This window comes from Homo sapiens, chromosome 15 (genome assembly GCF_000001405.40).
Source record: "Homo sapiens chromosome 15, GRCh38.p14 Primary Assembly".
Lineage (NCBI taxonomy): Eukaryota > Metazoa > Chordata > Mammalia > Primates > Hominidae > Homo > Homo sapiens.
In genome coordinates this window covers 71,877,935-71,904,763 of record NC_000015.10, presented here as the reverse complement: position 1 = coordinate 71,904,763, position 26,829 = coordinate 71,877,935, and the positions used below count along the sequence as shown (strand labels likewise).

General features: G+C 35.8%; 1 protein-coding gene across 50 annotated transcripts in view, besides 3 other annotated features; it reads left to right on the top strand.

The window, feature by feature from the left end:
- The window catches only part of MYO9A (myosin IXA), a 296,310-nt gene that overhangs the window by 213,837 nt on the left and 55,644 nt on the right, over nt 1-26,829 (top strand). For 20 of the 50 annotated variants that reach the window (XM_047432556.1, XM_047432573.1, XM_047432559.1 and 17 more), the window contains 12 exons: nt 725-835; nt 1,701-1,823; nt 3,424-3,573; nt 4,758-5,077; nt 5,732-7,303; nt 10,986-11,085; nt 11,587-11,799; nt 16,648-16,760; nt 21,028-21,170; nt 24,206-24,429; nt 24,927-25,043; nt 26,533-26,724. In XM_047432556.1, the coding sequence (XP_047288512.1) occupies nt 725-835; nt 1,701-1,823; nt 3,424-3,573; nt 4,758-5,077; nt 5,732-7,303; nt 10,986-11,085; nt 11,587-11,799; nt 16,648-16,760; nt 21,028-21,170; nt 24,206-24,429; nt 24,927-25,043; nt 26,533-26,724 (3,378 nt within the window). Of the gene's footprint in view, nt 1-724; nt 836-1,700; nt 1,824-3,423; nt 3,574-4,757; nt 5,078-5,731; nt 7,304-10,985; nt 11,086-11,583; nt 11,800-16,647; nt 16,761-21,027; nt 21,171-24,205; nt 24,430-24,926; nt 25,044-26,532; nt 26,725-26,829 lie in introns of all 50 variants that reach the window. The other 30 variants (XM_047432553.1, XM_047432571.1, XM_011521615.4 and 27 more) reach the window with 2 other exon arrangements.
- Nucleotides 15,741-15,910: an enhancer, noted in NCBI's record as "active region_9709". NCBI's record gives its function as "activates an Ori minimal core promoter by ATAC-STARR-seq in GM12878 lymphoblastoid cells {active_cell/tissue: GM12878}" and the evidence as "EXISTENCE:reporter gene assay evidence [ECO:0000049][PMID:35858748]".
- Nucleotides 21,010-21,159: an enhancer, noted in NCBI's record as "active region_9708". NCBI's record gives its function as "activates an Ori minimal core promoter by ATAC-STARR-seq in GM12878 lymphoblastoid cells {active_cell/tissue: GM12878}" and the evidence as "EXISTENCE:reporter gene assay evidence [ECO:0000049][PMID:35858748]".
- Nucleotides 21,180-21,229: an enhancer, noted in NCBI's record as "active region_9707". NCBI's record gives its function as "activates an Ori minimal core promoter by ATAC-STARR-seq in GM12878 lymphoblastoid cells {active_cell/tissue: GM12878}" and the evidence as "EXISTENCE:reporter gene assay evidence [ECO:0000049][PMID:35858748]".

Here is a 26,829-nt window from a genome sequence, read left to right as displayed (position 1 = left end):
CTGTAAGGTGTTTATTTGGATTTGATTTAGCATCACCCAGAATTTGAGAAGCAAATACCTCTTGAAGTCCTGTCAGAAAAGAATTTTCTTTTTTGTTTTTGTTTTTGTTTTGAGGCAGAGTCTCACTGTGTCACCTAGGCTGGAGTGCAGTGGCATGATCTCAGCTCACTGTAATCTCCGCCTCCTGGTTTCAAGCAGTTCTCCTGCCTCAGCCTCCTGAGTAGCTGGGACTACAGGTGTGCACCACCACGCCCGGCTAATTTTTGTATTTTTAGTAGAGACAAGGATTTGCCATGTTGGCCAGGCTGGTCTTGAACTCCTGACCTCAGGTGATCAGCCCACCTTGGCCTCCCAAAGTGCTAGGATTATAGGCGTGAGCCACTACACCCAGTTGTAGGTTATCTTGTTACAGATTTTGTAGTGATTGGACTATGTGGCCTCTGTGGGTGACTACATTCTTTTTGAGCCTTTAAGGTCCTCTCTCTTCACAACCAGAGAAGCCTGGAAGCTTGGTTTCTCTCTTTTCCCTAGGGTTGGGCAGTCAGAACTTTTCTGAAGCTACCAGCTGAGAGGTGAGCTTGCCTTAATATACTTAGTTACTGTATATGTTAACCAGACAACCTCCAGTCAATCTCTAGATACTCAACAGTTAGTCATGCTTATAAACAGATAATTAATTTGGAGATCTACTGTTCTGGGTTAATCTTTTTTCCATTTGCTTTAGCTGCCCTTAAGGTTCAGTGATGTCTTGGTACTTAGACAGCTTCGATACACCGGGATGCTGGAAACAGTTCGAATTCGCCAATCAGGATACAGCTCCAAATATTCTTTCCAGGTTCTGTTTTTATAGTGATATTTACATATTTAGACACATCAAGTAAATGATTCCCACATATCTTGCTTATTATTTCTTTGGGGCTTACTTATTTTCCTTAATTCTTCCTTTCCATTTCACGTTTTGTATACGGAATTGAAAAGGGATAGACAGTATTTACTTTGATTGAATGGCAGCAATCTCATTAAGCTTATTGTAATAGAATCCAGTACTTGGCTATTCTCATTTGCTCGGAATGTTTGCTAATACTAAATTTACTCCTGATATAACAATTCTTTGCACTGACCTCTCCAGTAACTGAAATAGTTCAATGAGAATTATCTAGTGAAAAGATTCTATTTGGTTTTCCCTAAAGTTTTCTCAGCAGGATTTTCTTTCATAGTAAGCTGCCAGCAAGGCTCACAGCTACTCGTATCAGCAATTGCTGCTATGGGTATGGAAACTATATTGAAGCTGTTCAGCAACTGAGCAAGTCTTTGCTGTTACTGGGACGGAAAGCCTCATTCTCAGTGATACCCTGTCCCCATCCTGCCACGTTTGCTTTTTTTTTCCTGATAGAAATTTTAGGGTCTTGTTAAATACCCTTTTCTTTGGTCTTTTATAAAGCTTTCTCAAAAGGGATAATTAGCCTCTGCCTTTTTTTTCTCTCATTCCCTTTTGATGTCATGATATGTAGAACCCAATATCTTTCTCCACCTCCTATGTTTTCCGAATTAACCTTTTATCATATCTTAAATTAACATGCACGTCTTGGTTTCACCCTGTTTAAAAGAAAGAGAAAAGATTAATAGAATGATAATTAGTTTAAGGTCTTGTTTACATACACTGTTTTCTGATTTTACAATATTTTTAAATTATTTTTCAGGATTTTGTGAGCCACTTCCATGTACTTCTTCCCCGAAATATTATTCCATCCAAATTTAACATTCAGGATTTCTTCAGGAAAATAAATCTTAATCCAGATAATTATCAAGTTGGAAAAACCATGGTAAATATAATCTGTATAGCTCTGGTCAAAATTGAGTGCATTTATTTAAAAAATAATAATTTTTGCCTATGAGATTGTTTATTAAAAAGATAGTGAATCAGATATCAGAAGACAATTGGTTAGGCCCAGGTTTTTATTTAATTATGTAGTCAATATTAATCACAGAGCTCTGGCCAGTGCTCTAGTTCTGACTATAATTTTAACTGCCTAAAAATCATCTCTCCATAGATACTCTACTGTAATCTCCAAGCCAGCTTGCCCAAGGTGACCATATCCAGATTCATCTGTTCTTAAATTTATCAAATACTTTCTTTCTCTGTCACCCTTTTTCCAGTTTCTCAGTCTAGAAACCATAATTGTCTTTGGCATACCGTTCACTTTAATCCTTTCACAAAGTTTTAGGGATTTTTTTTCCTTTTACAAAGAGATTCTTACATCGCTTTCTGTTTCTCCATTACTACTGCTTCCATTTTATTTTTATTCCTTATCTCTTCTCATCTACATTGCTTATACAGTGAACAGCTTACTTATCTGATTCTAGTATATTTGTCATTCCATTTAATTTATTCTACTCATAATATTAAAATTATTATCTTAATATACTTAGTTCTTTATGTCTGCCTCCTGCTTGATAATAACCTCCTGATAACCTCCTCATTAAATCCAAACATCTTTCTCTTTTTTGAGAACCTTCATATTGTGGCTTCACATTACTTAATATCTTTTTTATGGAGATTAATTGTCCCGTTGTCTCCTGTGCATGCCTTTATTATTATTTTCAACTCTCTGTGTTACTCAGGTGGGATCTTTTGTCTCTGGCCCTTATTAGTTTACCATCTTCCTCTTCGGGTATATAATATCTACCTGCTCTCAAATGAGAGGTATAATTCCTGTTTCTAAAGGGATATGTCTCCTTCACCTTTGCAGCCTCACAAACCCTAAACATTAGTGGAATGAAGGAGTAAATAAAATAAACTTATTAATAACTTTGGACAGTGAGAAGCTTTTAATGCACGCTGGATTTCAAAAAGACTGTTATCATTGGTTTATTCATTATATGATTCAAGCTTCAAGATCTATGGTTTTCAACTTTTTTCCCCATCCCAACACGCTTGAAAAATATGACTTATTACCAGTAATACATTTACTCATAGCAGTGGTTTCCCCAATGGACTAATGTATCATAATCTCTGGCACTGGAATTTTGATATTCTTGCTCACCTTGTCATTTTTCCCTCCCTTCCTCCCTTCCTTACCTTCCTTTTTTTGTCTTTTTTTTTTTTGGAGACCAGGTCTCTCTATTTTGCCGTAGAACTGGAACTCCTGGGCTTCAGCAAACTTCCTGTTTCAGCCTTCTCAGTAGTTAGGAGTATAGGCATGTAGCACCACACCCAGCTCACCTTCCGTATTCTACTATCTCCATTTCAATTTGAGAATGACTACTTTGGATAAATCTGTAGGAATATTTATCAGTACTTCATTTACATGCCTGCCACTGTGTTTGTTCTTCTCTAAAAGCTTATCACAGAAAGGATGATTCATGAAATAAATTTCTCATTTCTTCTTAAGCTGCATTCCTCATCTTTCTTCCTTTTGGTAGGTCTTTCTAAAGGAGCAGGAACGACAGCACTTACAAGATCTGCTTCACCAAGAGGTGCTCCGCAGAATCATATTGTTGCAGCGATGGTTCAGGGTCTTGCTGTGTAGGCAGCATTTCCTCCATCTGAGACAAGCATCTGTTATTATCCAGGTGAGAAGCAAAGGATTCTTTGCATGAGATTGACTAGTTTATTTGGCCTTTGTTTAGTAACCAGAACCTTTTTACTGTAAAACATTTTCAGTAATAATGTGAACTTCAGAAATGAGAATATGTCGTACCCAATTTTGAAGTGCTCATAACACCCAACAGATTATCTGGCATATAATAGACTATTAATAAATATTGATTCCATTGAATTTAAATTAAATTGAATTTGTAGTTATAATGTCTTGTGAGATCTGTGTAGGGGCTAAGGAGTTACCTAATATTTGTTGACATAGTTGTTTTTATTTAATAGTTTTTGGAGTGATGTTTGAGAGTTGTATATATACCGTTGGTTTTAGACACTCATTTTGGATGATAGGTACCTTATTTTACATTTTATTTGTTTTATTAACTCCCTCATTGATTTATATCATTTCCATAAGATCTTTTCCATTTGTGCAAGAAAATCTTTAGTATCTTCATCTTTGGAATGTGTGTCAGGATTACCTTAAACCCATTAGTGTTATTTAGGAAAATTGTAACAAAAGAATATAATATGTTAAAGTTACTAATAATTTGAAGGACATGAAATCATCCAAAAATTTTAAATTAGGTTCTGTAATTAACTTCTTCAAGGTTATATTATTTAAAATAGCTGTTTTAGCCAAACATATCTGGAAGAGAAAACTTTTTTCTATTTATCTTTTTCAGGTACACTTTCTGCTTTTGTAGAAAACTAGTTTTTTTATTTTTATTTTTTTGAGACAGAGTCTCACTCTGTCACCCAGGCTGGAGTGCAGTGGCGTGAATTCTGCTCACTGCAAGCTCCAGCTCCCAGGTTCACGCCATTCTCCTGCCTCAGCCTCCTGAGTAGCTGGGACTATAGGCACCCACCACCACGCCCAGCTAATTTTTTTTGTATTTTTAGTAGAGACGGGGTTTCACCATGTTAGCCAGGTTGGTCTCTATCTCCTGACCTCATGATCTGCCTGCCTTAGCCTCCAAAAGTGCTGGGATTACAGGCATGAGCCACCGCACCTGGCCAGAAAACTTATTTTTAATCACCAAGAATTTAGCTGCATAGCCACTTAACCTGTAATTATGACATAAGAAATTTATTCTCTTTTTTTCCTGTGAAAATGCAGTGTAAGATATGACAACCAGTTTCTGTTATTTTGTCTTCCCCATAGAGATTCTGGAGGAATTACCTAAATCAGAAGCAAGTCAGAGATGCAGCTGTGCAGAAGGATGCTTTTGTTATGGCTAGTGCAGCTGCTCTTCTCCAAGCTTCCTGGCGTGCTCACTTAGAGAGGCAGCGGTACTTGGAGTTACGGGCTGCAGCCATCGTTATCCAGCAGAAATGGAGAGATTACTATAGGCGCAGGCACATGGCTGCTATTTGCATACAAGCAAGATGGAAAGCCTACAGGGAAAGTAAAAGGTACCAAGAACAAAGGAAAAAAATTATCCTTTTGCAATCAACATGTAGAGGATTCAGAGCAAGACAAAGGTAATCTCTATTACTATAATAATTGCTTTTTTTCTTCTTCCCAAGTACTTTGTTTATACCTCTGCATTAACACTTGTCTAATTTGTATTAGAATTGGTTGTATACAATTTGTCTTTTCCACTATACTGTGATACCGATTTTAACCCACATTGTATTGTCTATAATGGAAGTTAAATAAGGTTTTATTGAATTAAATTGGATTGAAAATCTACATGGTCTGTGATCATAACTGCTAAGAATTAACTTCTACATTAGGCTGAATCTTATAAAATTGGCAATATTCAACTGTTGTTACTTTCAGAAACTTTAATTTCACACTTAAATTAAAATTTCACTTTAATTTCACACTTAAAATTTCACTTTAATTTGAGGTTTACTTTAAAATAAAGGCATTATTAAAATGAGAGCTTTACTTCTGAATTAGTTTACATTTTGACTGAAATGCCTAGGTAGAAGTAATACACTTAATGAAATATCATCTGACTCATGGAAATAGGAAAATTATGAAATGTGCATTCAAGTTAGTTTAAGAAGAACTTAGGTATTATAAAAAGATTTTACAACTCTGCATTTTTTCTTAAATTCTCAGGAAATATGTTATTTTCAGTGGTAACTAAGATATTTCTATAACCCATTTTGTCTGTTTTTATATAGATTTAAAGCTTTAAAAGAACAAAGGCTAAGAGAAACAAAGCCAGAAGTTGGATTGGTGAATATTAAGGGATATGGATCTCTGGAAATTCAGGGTTCAGACCCTTCAGGATGGGAGGATTGTTCTTTTGACAACAGAATAAAAGCCATAGAGGAATGTAAATCTGTAATAGAGAGTAATCGAATTAGCCGTGAAAGTTCAGTGGACTGCTTGAAGGAGTCACCAAACAAGCAGCAGGAGAGAGCCCAAAGCCAGAGTGGTGTGGACTTGCAGGAAGATGTGCTTGTAAGAGAGAGACCCAGATCCTTGGAGGATCTCCATCAGAAAAAAGTAGGCCGGGCTAAGAGAGAAAGTAGGAGAATGAGAGAACTAGAGCAAGCTATATTTAGCTTAGAATTGCTGAAAGTTCGTTCTCTTGGTGGTATTTCTCCTTCAGAGGATCGCAGATGGTCTACAGAATTGGTGCCTGAAGGCCTTCAGTCTCCACGGGGTACACCTGATAGTGAGAGCTCTCAAGGAAGCTTGGAACTTCTGAGCTATGAGGAAAGCCAAAAGAGCAAACTAGAGTCTGTCATTTCAGATGAAGGAGACTTGCAGTTTCCATCACCTAAGATATCCAGCAGTCCAAAATTTGATTCACGGGACAATGCCCTCAGTGCCTCAAATGAGACTAGCAGTGCAGAGCATTTGAAGGATGGAACTATGAAGGAAATGGTGGTCTGCAGTTCTGAGTCTATTACCTGTAAACCACAGCTGAAAGACTCCTTCATTTCAAATAGTCTACCTACTTTTTTTTATATCCCCCAACAAGACCCACTGAAAACAAATTCCCAACTAGACACAAGTATCCAAAGAAACAAACTATTGGAAAATGAAGACACAGCGGGGGAAGCTCTTACTTTGGATATCAACAGGGAAACTAGAAGGTATCACTGCTCAGGAAAAGATCAGATTGTTCCTTCTTTGAATACAGAGTCTTCTAATCCTGTGCTTAAGAAGTTAGAAAAGCTAAACACTGAGAAGGAAGAAAGGCAAAAACAGTTGCAGCAACAGAATGAAAAAGAGATGATGGAACAGATTCGCCAGCAAACAGATATTTTAGAGAAGGAGCGCAAAGCCTTCAAGACAATTGAAAAGCCAAGAATTGGAGAGTGTTTGGTGGCACCATCTTCCTATCAGTCAAAGCAAAGAGTAGAGAGGCCATCCTCTCTCCTCAGCTTAAATACCTCAAATAAGGGAGAACTTAATGTACTGGGGTCCCTATCATTAAAAGATGCAGCTCTTGCCCAAAAAGACAGTTCCTCTGCTCACTTACCCCCAAAGGACCGACCTGTCACCGTGTTCTTTGAAAGAAAAGGAAGTCCATGCCAATCTAGTACTGTCAAGGAATTATCCAAGACAGACAGAATGGGCACCCAGCTGAATGTAGCCTGTAAACTCTCAAATAATCGCATTTCAAAAAGAGAACACTTTAGGCCAACTCAGTCTTACAGCCACAATTCTGATGACCTTTCCAGAGAGGGAAATGCTAGGCCCATTTTCTTCACTCCAAAGGACAATATGAGTATTCCCCTGTAAGTGAAATGTTTATTTATGTATAAATGGGAAACTTCTTGGAGTATTTTTATTAAGGTGCCTTGTTCTGCTCCAACTATTTGTGTAAAGTGGCTGCTCAACTTGGCCATTTTCTCTTTGTAAAAATATTCCCTAATTGTTGACTCTACCATCACCTGAAGTTGGATGTAGTTATATCCTAGGAATCCTTGACTGATCATGAATAGCAGAGTAAATACTGGGTTCCTCCCCATTAAGTGAGAAGCATTTGTGAAGGGCAGTACAGTGCCTATAAACATAGTAGGCATTCACCGAATACTGGTTGCTTTACAGCTGTGAAGTTTAGTAGTTGAAGGTTGTTTGTTTCAGGCTTTAAAGAAGTTAATTTGTTTTGTTACAGCTGTTGGCCTATTTATGGTCATCATTACGTTCATTATACTTCTTTGTATGTGATAAACACATAACATAAAATTTCCCATCTTAACCATTTTTAAATAATATAGTACAGTAGTGTTAACTGTATATACATTGTTTTGCAAAAGATCTCTAGAACTTTTTCTTCTTGTAAAATAAAACTCTGTACCCATTGAACAACTCTGCTTTTCCTTGTAGCCCCTGGCAACCATCATTCTACTTTCTGTTTCCAAGAGTTTACTTTTTATACTTCATATAAATAGAAATGAAATTTTTTTTTTTTTTTTAAGATGGAGTCTCACTCTGTCACCCAGGCTGGAGTGCAGTGGTGTGATCTCAGCTAACTGCAACCTCTGCCTCCTAGGCTCAAGCAGTTCTCCTGTCTCAGCCTCCCGAGTAGCTGGGACTATAGGTGCACGCCACCATGCCTGGCTAATTTTTGTATTTTTAGTAGAGATGGGGTTTCACCATATTTGTCAGGCTGGTCTCGAACTCCTGACCTCAGGTGATCCACCTGCCTCTGCCCCCCAAATTGCTGGGATTACAGGTGTGAGCCACCGCACCCAGCCGTAAGTAGAATTTCTTTATACTTTTTTAAACTAGAGGTAGTCATGAGAAAAGCATTTTTAAGTGGTACGTAAAAACAAATTTAACAAAATTGAAGATACTTGTATTATCTTTATATTTGGTAGATTCTTTTGGTTCTTATGGAGAATGTCATCATTGAAATGAAAGGAGGGCTGTATCTTTGGGTTAAAAATAAATTTTACATTAACAATGAAAATAACCTTTTCTCTCCTTTTATATATAACCCAAACATTTAAATGTTCCACCCTTTAAAATTTCATATGGATTTTAGAGAAATCCTTTGTAAATGTGGGCAAGAGATGATCAATAATATATTTTTCCAAGAGTCTCTATAGTATTACAAAGTGCAGTTGAGCTTAATGACAGTTTTAAGTATTATTCCCACCCATTAACCTACAGATTTCCCAGAAGTTCAAAGACTCTGTGTAGCATATGCATCCATAAGAGAGTGTTAAAAACATATTCCCTGTCATTCTAAGTTTAGTGATACATGGTATTCCATGCATATCTGTAAGTGAGCTCTTTAATATTCTTTAATGTCTATTAATTATGACATTTATGTGTGTGTATGTATTATAGGTGTATACACTTATAAAGTAGCTGTTGGATCCATGAATTTGTTTTGTAAAAAACAAATTGTGGATTCTAAAAAATATTAATCATCCTTGTGAAATATTTATCTTATTTTTCCAAGATACATAGTTGTAGGTGTATTTGAGTTGATTTCTTTTATTGCTTTATTAATGATCTACTTATCTTTAAAATTATTATATATTAGATTATATTAAACTCTACAGATAAAATTCATACTTTAAATCTCATCCTGTTGTATAAGTAATATTAGAAACATTAACATTTTGTAGAATCATAAATGCTGGTGCTTCTGAATTATGTAATCCAGTTCCCACATGTTACAGATAAGGTCACTGGGGCCCATAGAGGTGAAATGACTTATTCAAGATCATGTATTTAGAGAAATGGCTGGGACTAGAACTTGCATTTCATCATTAAGGATCGGCATTGGGTTTTATAATTAGAAAGTAATACTAGGTTAGTGTCCCTTTTGTACTGTAGTGGTGATGAGTACACAGTAGTTTTTAACTGTTTAATGAGAAAGGACAAAAAGAATTCATGGTGAAGTCTAAAGAAAATGTTGTGAGTTAAAAGGTTAATTGCAGTGGTCAAGTACTATCAAGATCCTATTAATTGTTGTTTCTCTTTGGAGGATAAATGAAGGTCCAATAGGCTCAACTGTGGCAAGAGAGATTTTGATAGCCAGAAGAGAATCCTTTAGAACAAGCTAGGATTGCTAGGCTTATACACATTGTACATACATTGCTCAAAAAGGGAGATCTCTAAGAAGCCTATAGCTAGCAAAGATTGCATCTATTTGTGTTTGTTTCGGGCTTATTGCATAGAGGCAAAGGGCAAGATAATTTCTTATGGCTCCTAGACTTACTTTTATAAAAATTAAATGAAAGATTTTGAATGGAAGAACAATTAATCTACCAACTAGTATCATAAGTTAGTGTCTAATTTTAGCTAGCACTATCCTTGGAAGTAAGATATGATTCTCAAGGAGCTTACAGTTCTGCTCAGGAGAGATTATCAATATGTTGTTGATGAGACTCATGGTACTGAGTTAATATAGGTAATTGGGGCCATGAAGGTTATATACACTTTTTCATCAGATTCTGGCATCTATTTCTGCCCAGAATTTAATGATAAAGCATTCTCATCATACAGTTTTTCAATCAAAATTAAATTTTCATAAGCTAACACTGTAACACCTGTATTGTCTGGAGCATACTTTTAGTTTGATAACAATTTCTTACCCTGCCAGTGTTGATTTTAGGCTATTCAACATCAAGCTTTTTGTTTGTTTGTTTTTTGGTTTTTTTGAGACAGTTTCACTCTTGTCACCCAAGCTAGAGTGTGCAGTGGCACGATCTTGGCTCACTGCAACCTCTGCCTCCTGGGTTCAAGTGATTCTCCTACCTCAGCCTTCCAAGTACCTGGGACTACAGCCACCTGCCACCACACCCAGCTAATTTTTATATTTTTGGTAGAGACGGAGTTTTGCCATGTTGACCACGCTGGTCTCAAACTCCTGACCTCAGGTGATCCGCCTGCCTCGGCCTCCCAAACTGCTGGGTTTACAGGCATGAGCCACTGCACCCAGCCTCAACGTCAAGTTTTAAAACTCAAAGACAGTGGATGAAAACTACAAAGAGAGATTTCAGAAGGAGTTTTCTAACCAATAAGAACCATCTCAGTATAAAATATAATGAGATCCTCATCCCTGGATGGCTATTTTTCAGGTATTTTATAATGATTAGATGGAAAGGCCCCTTGTAAGACTAGTATTCTAAAGATTCAGGGGTTTGGTATTTTCCTTTCCCCATCATCAGATCTATTTTATTTCTTGAGTTTATTTTGCAGCTACTATTCTTAAACATATGTCATATTCATAGTGGAATATACCCACTGATCATCAGGACAAGGCCTTTAGTAATTCAGTCTTATGCGTAGGTTCAGGATTATTATTACTAATTAGCTAAGCAGAAAAAATATGACTTAATTGTCTTGGGAATTGACTAAGATCTGAAAATATTTATGGAATTTGCTGGAAGTCTTTAACCTGGCTGCCATGGGATATCTGCTAAGAACTGAAATGTAATTTCATTGTTTTATTTAAAGTGTCAGCAAAGAAGCCTTAAACAGTAAAAATCCTCAACTCCATAAAGAAGATGAACCAGCATGGAAACCTGTGAAGTTAGCTGGGCCAGGCCAAAGAGAGGTAAGTTTTGAGTTTTTGTTTATCTATCTTCTATACAAAAGAGATGTACATTATTTTGGAAATTATTATTCTTGTAGGTAGAGCACCTCATCTACCCATTTACTCCCAAGTGTTTTTAGAGAAAGAAGCCATGAGCGGAGATTGTTATAATTATGAAGGTGTACTCCAGGCAGGGAATGGTGCCTAAAAACCCAGTTGCTAAGAAAAAGAAGGCAATTTGTGCAAGAGACTTTGTTGACTTACTATGGCAGTGAAAGATGACTTCTTTGGCTATGTAGAACAGTGTAGATTTAGCTTCCATTCTAGTCCTTCATCCAGAGTAATGTATACAGATTCCTTTTGGTCATCCCTGTCACTTCTGCTAGTGGAAAGGGCATGGTTGGGTGGAGGGATATTTCAAGAAATTCATGAGCCCTCTGATGTCTTTCATTGGCATCATCTCAAAAAGAACAAAAACCCCAAACATTGTTGTGTTATTTGTTTTATCATTTGGTCAAGCAGGTTGCCAGACCGGCCCATAAAAAGAAAGCTCGAATGGCGCGGACGCGCTCCGATTTCTTGACTAGAGGTACTTTTGCCGATGGGGAGGGGGATACAGAGGAAGATGATTACGATGACATTATTGAGCCCCTTCTCTCCCTTGACCAAGCTTCTCACTGTGAGCTAGGGCCTGCACCCAGCCTGGGTCAGGCCTCTCACAGTGACTCCGAAATGGTAATTTTACAGCAATATAAGAAAAATAGCAAGCAAATCTGATGGAAATAGTCTTTGCTAATCTAAAGCTAACCTTCACAGCTTCTTCCCATGTAATGGTTTGTGCATGGGAAACCTCAGTGAACACAGCAACTAAGCTAAACCTTAATTTAATAGAACTCAAATAAAGGGCACTTTAAAAAGCCACAAATTAGGCAAAATTAAGATTATTTGACTTGGCACTAATGTAGAAATTTTCCATGTTGTATCCTAAAAGGTCTAGAGCAGTGGTCCTTACATTTTTTCTGTAAACGGCCAGATAACAAATATTTTAGACTTTGTGGGTCATATAGTCTCTATTGCAACTACCTAACTTAACTACTTAACTCACCCACTGTAGTGTGAAAGCAGCCATAGACACTAAGTAAACAAATGGGCATGACCGTCTTGTAATAAAACTGCAAAAACAGACAGTGGATTGTATTTGACCTGTTGGCCATAGTTTACTGATCCGTGGTTTAGTTTACTGATCCTTGGTCTAAAATAATCCAGTAGCTTTTAGCTACAATGCACTTTTACATTTTTTGCCTGTAAACTTTCTTCCTCCACCTCACTTTCCACTAATAAGAAATAAACATGAATTTTAAAACATATAGTGAGCAAAAAGTGTCTTCCTGGACCAACCCAGCCAAATAGAAGGCTATATGTAATGTGAATTTGTATTAATCACACAATATAACATTGGTGTTGTGTTTGAATAAAGCTGCACCATTTTAAGCTAAGAATATAACTATATCATCTTCTCAGCCCAAATCAGGTGTATATGTGGTTTGACAAGTATTATAGTATATTGATGGGTATATTAATGCAAAGAATTTTATTTTGGAATTGTCCTAGAAATATATAAGATAAAGACCGTATGTCTAATATGAACCAGAACATCACTGATGAAGTAGAGTGAAATAACATTTTATTTCCATACATATCTGTAACTGAGCTCTCTAATATTCTTTAGTGTCTGTCAATTATCAGAGAAAAATTTTAGAATGGTCTTTATTTGACTCATTAAATATTCTATCTTTGAACTGTTTTAAGCTGTTTGAATTGTCAAAGATCTAATTAATTGAAATTTCTCCTATTGTCCAGAATACTCTCGTTGTCTTTTATCTTTTGTTGGAGGTAGACCCAGTTTTTAAGTGACAAAAGTGATGTTTTATGAAGGCAAAAACAACAACAACAAAAAGAGAAAAATGCAAAACAAGTCCCCTGATTAGATAAATGAGTCATTAACCTGAGCCGAACTGTAGGATTATAGAAATTGGAAACATTCTGTGTATCTGATAATATGTATAATTAGAGCCAAAATCTTCAGTGTAGAATAAAATAATAGCATTTTGGAGGTGCCCTGTATTTGAGTTATAAATAAGGAAATATACTGTGTTATCTGATTAACAGTTAAATACGAAATTATGTAATGGAACAAACTAATTTTGATGAAAAGTCCTGCTTTGTCTAGTATACATAGATTTATTGTTTGCAGAAAAACTTTGGCATTATGACTGCTGTTTTGTTTCTGAGAGTTTCCTTTGTAACAACCCTTAGTCCTTTTGGTGATAGACTTCTTTTACACTGGGAACTTTTACTGAGATGAACCAGGAAGTTGGGCTTTCTGCTTGGAGCATTCAGCTCCTTTCAGTGTTCTAGCCTCTGTTCACCTGCTTGACGGTCACTGCATGCCAGTAGTTGTAGAGCACTTCCCTGCACAGTGTGTTAGTCACGTCGCCAGCTTTCTCATTTTCTTCTCTTTCACCACGAGCTATTTTAGGAACAGGTGGTGGTGCTTGTTTCTGGTGGACACTGCATGAAGAAGCTTTGCTTTGTAGAATATGTGGATAGTTACTTACCAGGGTTGGGGATGGGGTGGGTAGGAACAATTTTTAAATGTGTTTCTCTTTTTATTTATCTTGAGAATATTCCACGTTCTAACATTATCTGATATTGTGAAGATGAAGATGTATTGTGTCTAAATAAAATCTACTACAATCTCACAGTATTTTCTGGATTTTAAATGTATTTGATTTTCTAGGTACATGGAGTTTTAAAAGCTGGATTTTTTTTTTCTGGACAAACTGATTTTATTACTCTGAAGTGTGTCATTAAATCTTGGAAGAAATTGCTGTATGACCTTTCTAATTGTGAAGTAACCCAATCTAATGGGATAAAGACATTCACAAATGAATTGAAGGAGATTTGAGTTTTTAAATTATTAATCAGTTGTTACCTGCTGTGGGAGGGGAAACAAGTGTAGTAGTTTCCCTCCTTAGTGACTTTGGTGTTTTTTAACCTCTTACTTCAAACGCTGCCGTTTGAATAACTGTTTAGTCTCTATGTGCTGCTCTCACTCCATTTTTATACACACCACATTGGCATTTACTCAAGAAGAATGGCGTTTTCTGCTAAGCAGTTGTTTTTAAGATAGTTTTTTTTTAGTTTCTGTCTTCTGAATGGTAAGCGGGTTAGTAAAATCATTTCTATTCCTTATTTATAGGATTAGTATAGGAAACATTATACTTTTCTCTGTACAGTTTTCTTTTATCATCCCCCAGATTTAAAGCAGTCATCTCTATGGATATGACTTCTGAATGGCTCTCCAGAATTTCAATCTTCATTACTTCTAGCATAGTAAAACTAAATTTCTCATTATTCCCCCCAAACTGCTGTCACTTCTTATATTCCTATTTCTGCTATTCTCTGAGATACTCTCTGATCCTTGTCTGTGTTGAATTTTCTTTCTCTCTGATGTCTACTCCATAGACTGCCAGAAAAACCTGTTGATCAAACAAAGCTGTTTATTAGCTTATTACAGTAAGAGAAAACCCACTTTGACTGTGTCTTAGTAATATCTCACAAGGGAGAAGTCAGGAGAGGATATTCATAAAGTTTTAGGACCTGGGCTAGGTGATTTTGAGGTTGGTCTTGCGTGGTAGAAAACTGGTTGTTATTGAACAAAGTTCATTACTTAAGAGTTTTGGATTGGCAGCCTTAAGACAGCAGCCACACTGTTGACTATACACTTAGTATTTATATGTGTATTTTATTTCTCTAAAAAAAGTCAGGACCAGTTTATAGCATTGCAGCTATCTGTTCTTTGAAGATTTGGCAGAATTTTTCTATGAAACCACCTGGGATTGGTACTTTTTTGTGGTGTAGTTCCTGGATAAGTTTTTCTTTTTTTCTTCTAGGGAAATCAGTCTTTTTTAAACCTTTTATCTAACAGGGTCAATTTTGGTAAACCCTTTTTTCTTATAAAATTATCAATTTCATCTAACTTTTCAATTTATTTGCACAGAGGTCTGGAAAGTAAGATCTGGGCACAGAGCCATGTGCCTGTAGTCCCAGCTACTCAGAAGGCTGAGGCAGGAGGATAACTGGGGCCCAGGAGTGCAGGGCTGCAGTGAGCTGTGATTGTACCACTGCACTCCAGCCTGAGCAACAGAGCAAGACCATGTCTCTTAAAAAAAAAAAAAAAAAAAAAAAAAAAGGTTTGTTAGACCCAAACAGTACTCAGTCTAGGGCTAATTATTCTTGACTATTGAGGTGAGATCCTCTCTATACTTTGCCCAGTGCCCTGGGAATCATAAAGTTATATGCTCTGGCTCTTGGGCATAGACACTATTACTGACCTTTTGTGAGTGATGGGCTCAATTACCTTTAATCCTTTCAAGTGATCTTTTTCTTGGTCTTGGATTGTTTTCTCATACAAAGTGTTGATTAGTACTCAAGCTGAACATTCAATGTGGACCTTCTGTAGATCTCTAGAGTTCTATCTTTGTGCTTCTCACTCCTCTCCAGTACTCTGTCTTTTGGTCTCTAGTCACTGTGCTCACCTTGGACTTTCAGCTTCATGTGTTCCACTTAGAGTCTGTCAAGTTTCACCTGGGTTCCTCCTCTCTGCATCACAGCCTAGAAACAAGTGTAGAACATACTTCCCTTTTTTCCCATCTCTCAGGGGTATCTGTCCATTGTTTTAAACATTGCGGTTTCATATTATTTTGTCTGGGTTTTTTGTTGGTTTCAGGTAAGTGGGTAGACCAGATCCCTATTACTTCATCTTTGCCAACTTAAGGTATTTCCTCTTTCTGTTAATAAGGCCATAGTGAGGCAGACCAAAAGGCTAAAGAAAGAATATTATAACTACAGAAAAATGAAATATTAGGAAATGACTTGAATAGATAACAAGAAATTCTCTCCTCAGAACAGGATTGTCTTTAGAGGGACACATTTTAAACAAATGGAACAAGAACTGCCAATTAAAAATCAGGTCACAGTTTGATAGCCTTATAAGTTGTTTATAATTTAGACCATTAATAATGGTAATGAGCCTTTATCCTGTCATCTTTTGGCTCTTTAAAAATCATTGCATATTCCATCTCTTTTAAATTATTGATTAGATATATGAAGAACTTATAATAGCAAGTTAAGCCATGAAAGTAATAACCACCTTTTGGGATAAATAAAAGGAGATTTGAAAAACAATACTTAGCGTTCTAGATTTATTAGATCCTGCATCTTTTGTCTCTATCTTTAAATGGTTTTCACTTTCTTGCCTTTCCACTTGAGATTCTTTTTTAAATTGTCAGAAAATATGAACTGGTAGATCCTGTTTATTTTCATTGACCAAGTCATCTTTATTTCAGATTACTTTATATAGAGTTTTCAGTAGGCTCTATTATTTCAATGAATCTCTGAATAATATCAATGTTTTGTGTGTTTTTAAATAGCTCAAGTAATTCTGTAACCTGAATTTAAATTACAGTGCTATCATATATTTACTTGGCATTAAATCTTTCACATATGTAATTATTACAGACATCACAGCGATTTTCGTCAGTTGATGAACAAGCAAAACTTCATAAGACTATGTCTCAAGGAGAGATTACCAAGTTGGCAGTGAGACAGAAGGCTTCAGATTCAGATATAAGGTATAAAGTATACACGGAGTTAACAGGGGTTATATAATTTTATTTGATAACTGACTATAGTTAAGTACTGAGCTTTTTTAAAAAAACCATAATTGATAGGCCACTTTTGAAATTAAACTTATTTACCAATTTTTCAAGAAATGGTAAGTACCTACTGTTTATAGGCACATAGTAGTTAAGATATGTGTTGAAGAGAAGAAAAGAAAAATTTCCCTCAACCCTCATAAGTTCATAGTTGGGACAGAATCCTGTAACAAAAGACAGATTAACAAGAGAAAAATAAGCAAGTTAGTGCATACAGTGCATGCACATCATGCAGAGGAAAGGTAACTCAAAACAGTGGTTTAGGAATCTGGCTTATACATTGTCTTCAACAATGAACAATTAATTTTAGAGAAGTGACAAGACAAAGATAAGCAGTTTCAGGCTTCCAAAGGTAACAAAACTGGGAAGGTAAATTTATGGGGAAACTAACGGAGTAAAGTTGGTAGATTCCTCTGATGTCATTTCTAGCTAATAAAGGTCTACACTGTCTCCAGTGATTTTCTGTCCTTGTTGGTAGAGAGGGAAGAAAGAACACCTTTCAAATTTATATCCTGCTTTTAGGCGAACAGGGGAGGGTAGAGAGCTTTTCTGCATCTACTTCTTAATTGCCTTTAGCTTAAAAATATTTATCTCAAAGAGGAATATTTTGGGGTGGCACATACTGGTTCCCTTCAGTATAATGGGCTTTATCTCCCTCTATACTTAGCAGTATGATTTGGGGAAAGTCTCCAAATTGTTACATGACTTATGGTATTTTGTTGTAAAAGAGAATGAGACTAAATAAGATTGAAAATAGGTGCCAGCTTTGGACTTGGATTCTGTTCTGAGGTAAGCATTTTAGAAATGGAACTGAAAAGGCCTTTCAGGAGATAATTCTGTTCTCTTTAAGAGAGCTTATGGAATTTTTATTTTTCAAATAAATATCTTTGTCCCTCATTATGTTGTATAAGCATTTGGGCCTCGCAGAAAACTTACAAGATTATGTTGAAATTTTTCTGGTTCATAACCATATTAAAGACCACTTTTTCGCTGACTGTAGAGGTATAATCTAAGGTAATCCAAATCCAGAGCAGATAATACTAGAAACCAAATATTGAGAAATAAGATGTGACACAGTAGAAGAACATACATCTGGAAATAATAGATTATATATATTTAGTTTCCACGTCCTCCCCCACAATTGCTAAAATGACAAAATCTACGAAGGACTTTTCTCCCCCTCAAAAAAACTTAGAAGTGAAAACAACTGCAATAAAACTGTGGAATCCAAAAAGTAAATGGACTTTAAATTTTAAATATGTTAATACATACTAGAAAGCCAAATCCTAATCCAGCTAAGTAAAGCTGAGAAAGATACATCTAGCTGGCTGACCTTCCCCAATTATAGCAGAACAAGAAATTTATTATCTGGAAAGTATAAAACAGAGTATCTCTGGACCTGGAGTTTACTAGATACAATTGAGGGCTGGGGCACATATTTGGAACATAGGGATTTAATGACTGTTTATATACAGAATGTTAAGATTTGCCAGCCTTCTTCATTTCCCATACCCTCTAAGCAAATGGTTCTAAGCAAATGGTTCAAAGAGTTTTGGGGACTTCTGTCTAGCCCTTAGGGAAAACCCTGAATATATTACTATCAGGAGCTCTCCCTGCAAAGTCAACCAACCAGATAACCCTGTAAGGAAGACCATACTTTAGCAGGCCCACCAAGGCACACTAGAGCTTCCAAGCAGCCTCTTTCTTTTTTTTTTTTTTTTTTTTACCCTACTTTAAATAATAATCACATACCACTGATCACCGTATATTTGAGGAAATACCTTATATTGAAGAAACCAAAATTAACAGATAAAATACAACTTGGAAGAAATAAACTATACAGGGAATAGAACACTTCAAGATAGACAAATGTAACTATCAACAGGCCTTTTGCATAACAAATACAATTGTATTCATGAAACCAAATGGTGCATGAAAGAGAAACATTCATAATAAAAAGAGCTTTTGAAGATTAAAAATATGATAAAGGAGCAACTCAAGAATCAAAAGGAAATTTGAGGACATATCTCAGAATGTTGAGCAAAAAATGAAGAAATGGAAGAGATGGGAATATTAGAGGCTCCATTCAGGAGATCCAATGACCCAATGGTAGGAACTTTGGAAAGATAGAACCGAGAAAACGGAGGATAAATTATTGAAAAAGTAATTCAGCCAAATTTTACAGAACCGAAGGACACGATTTTCCAGATTTGAAGACGCCACTGAGTGCCCAACATAGTGGATGAAAATAGACCCATACCAAAAGACATGTTGTTATGAAACAAAAGAGACAAAAGGAATCTGTTACAATGATGAAAGTAGCTTTTCAAATGACAACTGCACAGCAGGCAATGAGGGAAACCACTCCAAATTGGAGCAAGTTAGAAGGCTCTGGGAGAGATTTTTTTCAACAAGATGAAACTGATAAAGTACCTAATACATTTGAATGTATTGAGAGTTGATAGAAATGGGGAAACACGTGGAGGTGAATTGTATATAGAAAAGTGAGGAAATGAAAAATCAAACAGTTTTCATGAGCAAATTTTAAAAATCCTCTAGAATAAAGTAGATTATTTAGGGAATTACATCCCTCAACTGTGAATATTATTTACATAATAAAAATAAATACTGAATATCATTAAAAGTAAATACTGAATATTGATCTAACTAAAATTACAGTATAATTCTTTTGGGGGCACATGTTTATGGTTAGGACTGGAATGGTGGAACATGCCTAATCATTATCTGTGGCCATGAGTATGATAGTTACAGAAGCACACTAAATATCAGAAGAATTAGTTAAAGCAATTCAAAAGTGTTGCCTCTAGGGAGCAGAAAATGGGGTGAGCATGGCAGAGAGATACTGTTGTTTTTAATTAGTCTTGTAGAACAATTTCTCTTTTTAATGTATAAATATATGAGTTTAGTAATAAGCTTTTTTTTAAAAAAAAAAAAAAAAAGGAAGAAAGAAAGAGCTCATGGGCTTCAAAACCAGATAGACTTGATTTTAACTTCCATCTCCATCAGGCCTGTAAGCCTTAGTTTGCTCATGTGTAAAGTAAGGATAATACTGTTTATCACAGTAGTTGTGAAATTAGGAATATCATATATAAGGCATAGTACCTGTCACCTAGTACATACTCAAAATTTTTTAATTGAATGATTGAACAGACAAATGAACAGATAAATTAATTTACAAATAAACCTCCAACTATGAGGTTAGAATACATAATATATGGTCAGTAACTACATGCCATTGTTATCGCAAGGTACTTCTTTGATGTAGATGATGAAAGCGTGTACAAGCACTAAGAAGAGGCAATACAATATAATAGATGTGGTTCTGAATTTTTCACTCACTGTGAAACTTTGGGAAAGTTACCTAATATATAAGTCTCCAGTTTTTCACCTGTAACATATTTATAGTAGTTTGTTAAAAGCAAAGTTGTTACTATCACCTGTTCTTTAAGAAAAAAGAAAAAAGCAAAGTTGATATTGTAATTAAATTTTGTAAGCACTGTGCCTGGAGAAAGATACAAGTTCAAATAAGTGGCTGTTAATAATACTAATAACTCATGAATGTAAATAGTGACATTAAAGCTTTTATTATGTAATGGTGAGTGGAAAGATTTAAAATGCTATGTGCATCATGATAACAGTGATGTAAAACTTGCCATACTTATGGATAAAGACTGGAAGGAAATGACAAACAAAGGTAAACTAATGTTTTTTAGAGTGGTAGGATTATTCGTGATTTCTTTAAAAAGTATTTTCTTTGTTGTTAAATTGTGTATATACTAAATCCAAGCTGGATGGGGGACAAGAATGAAAATAAACCAGTTTGGGAGTTAGAAAACTTGAGTTAGAATTCTAGCTCCACTGCTTTGTGGCTGTTTCATCTTAGAAAAAATATTGAACTTCTCTGGGTTTTGTTATTTCTGTATTCAAGATGTTTCCTCATCTGAATATAGAAATAACAAAACCCAGAGAAGTTAAATAATTTTTCGCCTTTCAGTTTCAGGTGAAGTTTAAATGCAAAAGTAAAGATAAATACACTTAATTTAAATGTGAAGCTTAAATGAGCTAATATACATAGAAGATTTGTAAAGCTTAAAGTGATATATACAAATATTATCACTGAGATACTCTTAATTTCCATTTTTACCTTTATTTCTTTAAACAGACCTCAGAGAGCTAAGATGAGATTCTGGGCCAAAGGGAAACAAGGGGAGAAGAAGACTACCAGAGTGAAACCTACTACCCAGTCAGAGGTTTCGCCACTCTTTGCAGGCACAGATGTGATTCCAGCTCATCAGTTTCCAGATGGTAAAAGTGACCAAAGGGTGGAACTTGTGTTCATAATTTCTGTTCACTCTTTCTGAAAGTTTGCTATTCCTGTAGTATTCATAATGTCAATCCTGTTGGCTGGATGTTCTAATGAGATAGGACCAGCATTGTTAAATCCTTCCTTAACTAAAAAATAAAGTTACATTTTTCCTACAATAGAAGTTTCCAAAAAATGCATCACAAAACAATGAAGCAGCAACCACCTCAAAAATGACTGTGTATCATAGGTTAGCCTTAATTTTCTAAACTAAAAAAATGTAGCCATTATTCATTCATTTAACAAATATGTATTACTGGTTATAACTAATAGCAGCTAATATTTGAATGCTTACTACATGCAAGGCACTGTGGTAAGCATGTTATGGTTATTAAGTCAGTTGCTCCTCACAACAGTTTTTTGAGAGTTAGTATGATTATTATTCCCAATTTATGGATGAGAAAACTCAGGCACAGAGAATTTTTTTTATTAGGCCAGGCACGATGGTTCACACCTGTAATCCCAGCGCTTTGGGAGGCTGAGGTGGGCAGATCACATGAGTCCAGGAGTTCAACACCAGCCTGGGCACATAGTGAAACCCCATCTCTACAAAAAATATAAAAATTAGCCAGGCATGGAGGCATTTGCCTGTAGTCCCAGCTACTTGGGAGGCTGAGGTAGGAGAATCGCTTGAGTCTGGGAAGTTGAGGCTGCAGTGAGCTGTGATCACACCACTGCACTTCAGCCTGGGGGAAAGAGTGAGACCCTGTCTCAAATAAATAAATAAAAAAGAAAAGTTATTTATTTATGCACATATAGTAACTGGAAGAGCTAAGAGTTGAATCTAGGCAGTCCTGCTCCAGAGTCCATAGTCTTAACCACTGTGTTGTATATTAAGTACTTGCTATATTTCAGTACCTAGCAGATGCCTGGCACTTTATAATAGCTATTATTTTTCAATTTTAGAGACAAGGTTTCACTATGTTGCTTAGGCCGGAGTGGTGTGATCATAGCTCACTGTAACCTCTAACTTCTGGGCTCAACCTATCCTCCCACCTCAGCCTCCCAAAGTGCTGGGATTACAGCCATGAGCCACCATGCCCAGTCCCATAGCTCTTATTTTAACTTTCTGGGCGTGCAGCATAACACATTTGAGAAGTACTCAACAGTTAGTTCATCGTTCAGAAAACTGACCTCTCTAAATGGGAAAATTACTTACTCTCCAAGTTATCCTAATGTTAGAAGATTACCACTTCTCAAGCCCTTTTCTCAGGTATGCCTGAGAGTTTTTAGCTACTACGTAAAGATACCAACTTCTTCAACAGAGATATACATCCAAGGTGGATATATGGTAATGTGGGTGAAATACCAGCATTGACTAAAATAGAAAGAGGTCCTCGGAAGAAAGCTTAAGGCAGGATAGAACAGACCCAGTTACAGTAAGAAACCAGCATCTTCTCATATCTAGGATAAAATAGAGAAACAAGGAGGAAAGATCATCAAGCTTCCCAGAGGGGTGAATGGGCTTGAGCTCTCTATGCCAGAGGAAAGAATGGTGGAAAGGTAGTTAGACCCCTGTTTTTGTATCTTATGGCTTTGCTTCTATCAGTTGAGAAATGGATGTGAATAAAACCAATAACAAGTTAAATGAATACTACAGGTTTAGGAAGCTGGGAATTCCCTACTATTGAATGGCTAAGGTTATCAGTTTCTTATATCTTGTCTGGTTGACAGTCATCCTTCTAAGTTTTTTATTTCCCACAATTATATTCTTTGCTGCTAATTCTTGAGAAAGAAGTATAAACTCTAATTGAAAATTCATATTATAAGCAGACTTTGTTGTGTGTTTGCTTCATAATGACACATGTATAAAACTTAGGATTATAGCTTTTTATTTATATTTGGAAAAAATGTATTAAGGTAGGCCTTGTTTTTAATGCTAATATGGGATTATGGATAATTTCTTTAGTAAACATTTATTTTATTAATAAGAAAGATACTGACTTTGCTAAATAAAATAGATACTTAATATATCTAAGCTGTATAATAGAATTAAAATCAGTTGATATATGTTTGAATATAATTGTATCCTGTATCTTTATATTCTTTACTCTTGTGTCATAGTTGAAATTGGGTTTCTCTCAATTCCTGCCTGAGGTGGTATTTAGCATGTAGGGGGCTACTTTTTTCCTTTATTATCAAAGTTAGTTTGGATAGAATCAGGATATACCATTGGACAGAGGGTAACGAGCATACACATTGGGAAGACAAGCATGTGAAATGAGAGGAGGTAAACATTTTCATCGAGCTCCAGATAGGGTTTGGCAAATCTGGTCTAGTTCTAAGTTGTAATGGGCTACATAGAATCTAATTTCTCCGTTGTAAACATTTGTAGAGAAAAATTGTAGAGAAAATAAATTGACAGTTATTTGGGGGATGTTTAAGAAAATCCTAAATGCTGAAGAGACCCAAGCAGAAGTAAGCCAGTTGAGTTACTTGGCTCCCTAACAGGTTGCCAGCAATCACCAAATGTTATCACAGAAGTATTCAGGACTTTAGACTGTAGTAAAGAAATAATAATAATTATCAAACTCCACTGGTTTGTTGGACTTGTATATAGCTACACATATTGTTTCAAACATGTAGCAAAGCTATGACTTTGTTAACAGTAAGCATTTAATATGCTAGTATGGTTTTATATTCTCTTCTTTTCTTTGGGACTGAGATCTTTGGGATCTAACTTGACGTCCTGCAAAGCATTTCTATCCAGGTTTTTAATATCAGACTTCAGCTTCTTGGGAGATATGATATCATCTCCCTTTGAAAAGTGGTAATTTTTAAATACGCTTTCTGTACAAATGTGCTGTCTGGATTTATTGCTTAGCTGCCTAACCTCAAACATTAATGTTACTTTGCTATTCATATATTTGCATGTTTCCTTCAGTGACTTGTTAAAGGAACTTTAAAAAGAAGGATGTGAAGATTATCAATATATTTACTAAATGTGTCCTTTTGGGTCTTCTATCTTGAATTGTAGAATTAGCTGCATATCACCCAACACCTCCTTTGAGCCCAGAACTGCCCGGCAGTTGCCGGAAGGAATTCAAAGAGAACAAAGAACCTTCTCCAAAGGCTAAGCGCAAGCGAAGTGTGAAGATTAGCAACGTGGCTTTGGATTCTATGCATTGGCAAAATGACTCTGTCCAGATCATAGCAAGTGTCAGTGATTTAAAAAGCATGGATGAATTTCTTCTGAAAAAGGTACACTTTATTTGCCACGTCAGGCCCTGGAGCAGCTCTGTGTATGGAATACTTGTGTATATCAGGATATACTCTCTAGATATCAAAATTACATATGCTTCCATGCTTTAGATGATCTGTTCTTTACCAGAAAGGTGTGAATAATAGGATATGCATTAGTTAGACTGGGTAGACAGGATTTAAGGTTGTAGGCTTTAGTAGTGACTTTAATTTTCCTAAAATTGTCAAATTTCATATGGGAAGGTACAGCTTGTTGCACACGGGAGTTTTCTTGTAACAGAACTATAGAATCATACAATGTTAGAAGGAACCTTAGAAATCATAGAGTAGTAATTATAGTTTGACTGTCTAGTCATAACTTTCACCTGAGTCCTATAATAGCCTGTGGCTTGCACTTTGAGGACAGTCATTGTGGAAGCAACAATACATGCCTACTGTTGTATTTACTTCTTTTCAATTAGTTGATTGTGTACTAAAACTCGTTTTGTGGTTCCCAGGTGAATGACCTAGATAATGAAGACAGCAAGAAGGATACACTAGTGGATGTTGTATTTAAAAAAGCCCTGAAGGAATTTCGGCAGAATATCTTCAGCTTTTATTCATCTGCATTGGCGGTGAGTTGGACTATGTTAGGAGATATTTAGTAGTTCAACATATGAAAAATTTGATAGCGCTGTAGAAGATAATACAAAAGCCATGTTTCGTAAGAGATTTCTCCAGTGCCTTGTTTTTGTTTTAGGGATAGACAAGGAAAATGAATGGTTTTTGTTTTAGGGATAGACAAGGAAACTGAATGGTTTCAGATTAAAAGCTCCCTTGAATTTCCTTGAGTAGCTTTTTCCCACCTTACAGCTGTTTTTTTCATCTTTTAAGATACTGACTTCAGATGTCCTGGGTATGATTCTGTTTTTGCCTGTGACTTTTCATAATCCTTTTAGCTCTATTGCTAGGCTATAATGTCTAATTTTCCTTTGTGAGGAATGCATTATATGTTTTCTTTTAATGGAATTAGGGCAGTTAGTTTATGGACACTGATTTCTACATATCAGTTTATATCACTTTGAGATTTACCTTATACTTTCACATGATACTGGTCATGTTTTAGAAAATTTATTTTTGGTGTGTGCAATTAATGCTTTGGTCTATAGAAGCATTAGTGTTTATGAATTATCATATTCTGTAAAAGAATTCATATTTTATTGGCTTTTCATTGTTCAATATATTCTTTAATTCACTGTGAAGAGAAAAATCTGGAAAGCTTTTTAATTTATACTCTACTTGGCTGGGCGCAGTGGCTCAAGCCTGTAATCCCAGCACTTTGGGTGGCTGAGGCGGGTAGGTCATGAGGTCAGGAGTTCAAGACCAGCCTGGGCAATATGGTAAAACCCCGTCTCTAATAAAAATACAAAAATTAGCTAGGTATGGTGGTGCATGCTTGTAATCCCAGCTACTGGGGAGGCTGAGGCAGGAGAATGGCTTGAACCCATTCAATAGCTTGAGGTGGAGGTTGCAGTGAGCCGAGATCATGCCACTGCACTCCAGCCTGGGTGACAGAGCAAGACTCCGTCTAAAAAAAAAAAAAAAAAAAAAAAAATTCCAGATCTCATTTAAATAAAAGAAATTCTATTTCAGTTCCTTGCAAATAATATGATGTTATTCTGGGCATGTCACTCTTCTTTGGAAAAATAAATTGGTTACTTAATATATGCTTAGGCAATGATTCAAGTATTCATTCTTTCAATTTTAGAGTAGAACCATCTAAACAAGGTTCATTTCTGGGGAGGAAAGTAATTAAGAGGGATGCAAATAACCTTTATAGCTACATAAAATTAAAAAGTCACACTTAGAAGAGAAATTCTCAAGACTTCCTCAAATTATTACCGTCAGGTTTTTTACTAAAATTTAGCATGTTTGATTCTGCATTCATCCCATACTAGAATGGGAGTTTACAAATACCACATGACCTCATGGGCATGCTCATTAGAAATTATATCAGGATCCTAATCTTTATTCTAAATACTACCCCATTACAAGTGTAATCTTTCCTCTATATTTAAGGAGTTTCTTTATAAAACCATACATTTCTTTTCTTATTGCTTATAGATGGATGATGGGAAAAGCATACGGTATAAAGACCTCTATGCACTATTTGAACAGATTCTGGAAAAGACGATGAGGCTTGAGCAGCGTGATTCACTGGGTGAATCTCCAGTGAGAGTTTGGGTCAACACTTTTAAAGTGTTTTTAGATGAATATATGAATGAATTCAAGACTTCAGATTGCACAGCCACAAAGGTAAATGTGATATATTTTGATTACTTAAAGGATTTAATTATGAATTCTTTTTAAGAGCGTTTGGGACATCTTGTATTTGAGAAATTTGAGAAAAATTTTATTTTG